This window comes from Homo sapiens, chromosome 13 (assembly GCF_000001405.40).
Source record: "Homo sapiens chromosome 13, GRCh38.p14 Primary Assembly".
Taxonomy (NCBI): Eukaryota; Metazoa; Chordata; class Mammalia; order Primates; family Hominidae; genus Homo; species Homo sapiens.
The window spans coordinates 69,196,111-69,202,355 of NC_000013.11; the positions used below are offsets into that span (position 1 = coordinate 69,196,111).

The 6,245-nt window shown below is 34.7% G+C and overlaps 1 annotated feature.

Moving 5' to 3' along the window:
- Positions 961 to 1,712: an enhancer, noted in NCBI's record as "OCT4-NANOG-H3K27ac hESC enhancer chr13:69771203-69771954 (GRCh37/hg19 assembly coordinates)". NCBI's record gives its function as "activates a minimal SCP1, AML or CMV promoter by ChIP-STARR-seq in naive and primed H9 embryonic stem cells {active_cell/tissue: H9 hESC(naive and primed)}" and the evidence as "EXISTENCE:reporter gene assay evidence [ECO:0000049][PMID:30033119]".

Here is a 6,245-nt window from a genome sequence, read left to right on the forward strand (position 1 = left end):
ACTTACATCATAATTCAAAGCTAAAGAGAAACTCAGTTTGGTATATATCCTCCCAGTGTTGATCTAGAAATTTATTCTCCATCCATCTTTGACACTGCCATATTAAACACCTGGCTGAAGAAACATCTGAGGATAGAACAAGTTGTTTTTATGGACCAAGTCTGTAGCTGAGTCATATCAATTGCAATCATATTGCATTGAACAGGTATAAAGTCCCAACATAAATCAAAGTGAGGCTATAAAATGAATTTGTTCTGTGTTCTTGGAAAGAAAAATAAGAGGGTAAACAGGATTTTATAAAAGATAAATGGAAAATTTATCTATAAAATGCCATATTTATAACTATTAATTTATACTTTTAAATCTAATAGTTATACACAAATAAATTCCAAAATATTTTTGTTGGGAAAATAAAATGTCTGTGTTCCTATTATAGTCTAGGTGAAGGCTTAAGATATTGAACTAAAGAAAGTCTCCTAAAACAGAAATAGTGTATTTGAGAACAGTAAGGTATCCTTATTCCTTGCTCACAGCAATTTTTTTGGAGTCATAGAGGAATGATATGCTCAACAAATATTGTCAGGCCTCTGAGCCCAAGCTAAGCCATCATATCCCCGGTGACCTGCATGTACACATCCAGATGGCCGGTTCCTGCCTTAACTGATGACATTCCACCACGAAAGAAGTGAAAATGGCCTGTTCCTGCCTTACACAAAGCCTGTTTGGTGTGTTTATTGCTCACACGAAGCCTGTTTGGTGGTCTCTTCACACGGACACGAGTGAAATATTCAAATATCAATTTGATTACTTAAAAGCTGTATTAAACAAGATCCAAGCAAGAAAAAGCTTGAGATAAATGCTAAAAAATTGAATAAAGAGTTTTGGGTTAGAAATCTCCATGTATACACTGATAAGAGCACAGTCAACTTTGTTGAGGGATAATTTAATGGCAATTTTCATGCGCGTCCGTGTGAAGAGACCACCAAACAGGCTTTGTGTGAGCAACATGGCTGTTTATTTCACCTGGGTGCAGGCGGGCTGAGTCCGAAAAGAGAGTCAGCGAAGGGAGATAAGGGTGGGGCCGTTTTATAGGATTTGGGTAGGTAAAGGAAAATTACAGTCAAAGGGGGGTTGTTCTCTGGCGGGCAGGAGTGGGGGTCGCAAGGTGCTCAGTGAGGGTGCTTTTTGAGCCAGGATGAGCCAGGAAAAGGACTTTCACAAGGTAATGTCATCAGTTAAGGCAAGGACTGGCCATTTACACTTCTTTTGTGGTGGAATGTCATCAGTCAAGGTGGGGCAGGGCATATTCACTTCTTTTGTGATTCTTCAGTTACTTCAGGCCATCTGGGCATATACATGCAAGTCACAGGGGATGTGATGGCTTGGCTTGGGCTCAGAGGCCTGACAGCAATCGTGACTTGAAAATTAGAGATTATGCATTCTTTTTGGATATTTACATACTTAACTCTCCCAGAGCAACTTGCTTACATTTTAGGGAGACTTTCACCTTTTCTCCAAAAAGTTATCATTTTTTTTTTCATCCCTGAGTAAAGATTTCTTTCCTAAAGGAGGACAGGCCCCCATCAGCCCCCATGTGTAAGCTCTGAGTCTCATAATTTCTGGGATCTCCTTTAGTGGTGCAACCTCACTGTGTGAATAGGTGAACATTTGGCTCTTATCATCTCACCCCATGGAAAACTGTGACATGGGGAATTGATTCTTAGATACTCTGTGAATAATAAACAGTCATATCCAAAGATCTCGTATTTCCCGTTAGGACTATTTATAAATATATAGGAACTAACACGGGCTTAGAGCATGGTCAATAACCTTATGAAACTATCCTTTGGCCTGTAGAAGCAGAAAGTAGGAGTGGTCACTACAAAACAGGAAGAGTAGTACAAAAACTGACAATTAGGAGTTTGGGGATCCAAAGGAAAAAAAATACGAATTCTACTTCATTTTCTTCTTTCATTTGGATCTTTTTCAGGTGTCTCGTTTTGGCCAAATACAAGTGGAAATCAGAAAGCCAGTGACTCCATTGCTGCTATCCATAAAGTTTAGCTTCCTGAGGCACAGAACATGCTACCAAAGGGTGGAGAGTAAATTTGGAAAAGCGAATGGAATGCAGCACAGTTCCTATGCTGAAAGATGATATGCTTTATGCTTAAAAGATTATTAAACACATAAACTTCCAACTATGGCTGACCTGTGAGATATGGCTCTGTGAGATTTGGCTGAACTTTTCCCTCAAAAATTCCCTGAACTAGAAATTCTTCTGCTCTAAAAACTCAATCATATCCAGAGTACAGATGAATTCTCCTATCTATCCATTTGTTTATCTTTCTTATTATTTTAAAATCACAATCACTTTTGACAAAACAAAACTTCTTTAAAAGTACTGTTTAGCACACACCCTCTGGTGATTACCAATGTGTCACACTGTTGAATGAGGATGGAAGCTGTGAATTGCATCTAATGAACAAAATATGGCAAAAGCGAGGGGCTGTTACTCCCTTTATTGGGTTACACTATGTAAAATTCACTATTAAGCAGATGAGTGAGATAGACTTCCTTGCTGACTTGGAAGTTTTATGTTGCCATTTGTAAGAAGGCCTCTGAGAGGAACACATGACAAAAAACTGTGGCCTAGAGGAGGTGAGTGCCCCCAACCCGTAACCAGCAAGAACCCCCCACCACCGATAGCTTCCAGAGTATAAATTATCCCAAGTACATGAATGATATAGAAAACAGATTCTTGCCAGTCAAGCCTCCAGATAGGAATGCAGTCCAGCAAATGTTCTTGATTGAAGCATTATGAGGGTTTAATCTCAATAATCTAATAATGATCAGACTACATTAGCATAGAACCAACTAAGCTGCATCTGGACTCCTGTTATCCTGTAGTGTCTATAAGATAACAAAAGTATATTAGCTTAAGCCTCTAAATGTGTGGTAATTCATTACAAAGAAGAAAAACTAGTATTAGTATTGACAATATTATTTTGAACATTGTTTTTACAATGATCTCAGCTTATTGTGTGTGATCCTGAATTCCTCATTAACTCCATGGCAGTTTGCCATAATTCATTATATTTTATCAGAAAATATCAATATTAAGCAATACCATTACTTCAAGTTAAGATAGGCTCACTAGGAAAAATATTATTTCATATAAAGTATAAAATTTGGATATAAAGTATAAAAACAACCTCATATATAGATTTTGATATTAAAAATAAAAATATGTTTGCTTAAAAAAAGAAGGACCCGATATTGTTGATTTTCTGAATATGGTTCCTTCTCTGATGTAAACACTGGTCAAATAAATGGGGGAATGAGGAAGGATAGTATAAACTTACATGGCTTTATGTTCAGAAATTATGTATTGTCAAGCACAAAGGGAAGCTTTAAGCTAATTTAAATTATTCTTTACTTATTATGGATTATGTAAATTTATTTAGAGATTTTCAACACCTGAACAAAGATGCATTAACTGTAACCAATTAACAATCTAATAGCTATCACATTATATTGTTTACTTCTTTCATGCTGTCAACTTAAAGTGTGTAAAAATTCAGTAATTTTTTTCCCCTCAGTAAAGCTGGGGAATGATTTTCTGTAAGTATGGATTTAGTGGTCTCCCTTTAAATGTAATTGCATCCGAGCGAACTTCCTACTATCTTTCTAGGCTCCTGCTGTTTTTGTGACAGTCAGTGCTGGCTCTAATCTTATTGTTAATGTCAAAGACCAAGCGTGACAGCTCCAGACAAGATAGGCTCCAGTGAATGGCAGAGTAATCAGGCTGGAAAAGAACTGGCGCATTCATAAAGGATCAGACCCTGGAAAGTCGCTATCAGCATGTTCACATGTTTGCTTCTTTTCTAATACTGATGGCAGGTAGATCATTTAACATTGTGTCTTTATGTCAAAGATTATTTGAAATTTGTGTTATTCTAATACTCTAAACCAAACTGAATAAAAATGTTGTATTTGACAGTATTATCAATATACAAAATTCAAAATATCTGAGGGCATTCTGTGAAAATATGGTATTTTACAAACTGTGCAAAGAATGTTCCTTCACCATCTCACACTTGTTTTCCTAAAATGCAATATGGAACAGTTTCTGTTCAAATTATAAAGATGTATAAGTTTCTTTTTGTCTTTATGATTTATATTCTATTTAATAATGACATAATTCAAGCAATTAAGTAAAATTTATATTTTATGCTCCAAAAGATAAGAACACATTAGTCAACTTAGTATATTGTACATGTCCAATAAATGTTAAGAACATGAAGAAAATCTAAGTAGTAATATTTTATTTCTGTGAAATATTTTATGATATATCTTTTTAAAGGGATAACAGCGTTTACATTTCTTAAGGAAAATATACATGACATTCAAGTGGTTATATTGTGTGTGTTTCTAAGTTTCTTACAAGCAGTTATATTGTGTGTTTCTAAGTTTCTTATACAATACTTTTTGAAAAATGTACTGTATCTTATTTTAAGAAATTTCACTATATGTATATATAGTTACATATATAGATGTTAAAACAAATTTTGCAAAAGATACTTTATAATATTTAGCATCACTTCAATTTATCAGGAAAAGAAAAACACATGAATGTTTTTCTTAAGTAACTGGTCCTCCAGTTACTTAAGGGCTCATATTAAGTCCTTAAGTGATAGTATATATGTGATATGTATAATAGTATAAATATACCATTAAAGAGAATGTTAATTGCTCACTTTAGATGATATACAGAAAAAGATGTTCTCTTTTGGGTAAACGTTTAATAGATTTTTAAAATACCTGAGGGATGTATTCAGTATTTGGGGGATATATGGCTAGTGAAAAAATACACGGGAAAATGACTGTCTTTTAAATTTTAAGACAATAAACTTATTATAGTTTTGCTGATATACATTCCGATGTTTATAATAATTAACTCACAATTTTTAATAATATTAATTTCCCATAACTGCCTGATGAGCTAGTAAAGAAATATTGGTTTATATTAAAATACATTTGTATTTAATATATTTATTTTTATATTTATAGTGTATAAATTTTAAATTTTTATATTTATGTAATTTTTATTCCTCAAAATAACCACCTATTCTAGATATGTTATCATTATATAAAACCTGGATTCAAAATGCAAATTTTTTAAAGTTATATTTCATAATTATTGACTGTAATCAATAATAACAAATCTTTCAACCAATGGACCTACAAGAGTTAGTTTTTAATTGATTTTTAAAGGAGCTGTTTTATTGGCAGAGAATAAGATAGGGCTAGCTCTCTTCTTCCAAAAAAAACAATAACTCTGTCATGGAGTTTGTTGGGGTCCCAGCCTCAGGACCTAATTACACCTTAAAAGCCTCACCTCCTAATACCGTCCTTTTGGGTGTTAAGCTGTCAATACAGAAATTTTGGGGATGACACAAATATGCAGTCCATAAGATGCAGTATGTGTACAGTTGCAAAAGCAGGACAGTGATTAATGGAAGAGTATTGAGTGAACTAGTCATTTTTCTGCCATCTTCCCTCAGCTCAATTCTGACACCAACAGAAGCAATGATGGATTAATGTTTTGTACAAAAAAAGAATGAAACCTCAAACATCCTGCATAACTCTCATCTTTCTGCTTTTCTTCATCAGTTTTCCATGAAGTGGAAAGCAATTAATACTTCCAGCAAGTGCCCTCATCCAATGTGGGAATGGGAGCTGGTGTGCAAATCTGCAGAAGGACCATAAGAATCCCTTGTACTTCAGACCTCTTGTACCTCTGATCCACATTCAGAGGGCTCAGGAGAGTTGGGTCACAGTGGTCTACAGCAGTAGCCTCCCAAACGAAACATCTTCCTGTGATTCTTCCATTTTCTCTGTCTCACACACTTGCACCCTTCCTGCTTCCTCACATCACCTCCAGATAATCAACTATACCCAACTTCTTTTCACAGACTTTGCTTTCAGTCACTGAAATATACAAATATAAAGGTTCTTTCTTTCTTTATGTAAATTATACAAGAATAACAATGATGAAAGGTGTACAAGAATAAGGGACAATATAATTCTTCTGATTAGAGTAGCATGTTTCCCTAGCCCTCATCTTCCCAAAACAGACACCCTACTTATCAACACTTGATAGAGGTGAGAAACCCTTCAGTCCTTTAAGAAGTTTGTATTGCACTTTCAATGTGTATTGATATAAATTCTTGGCCTTCTTTTCT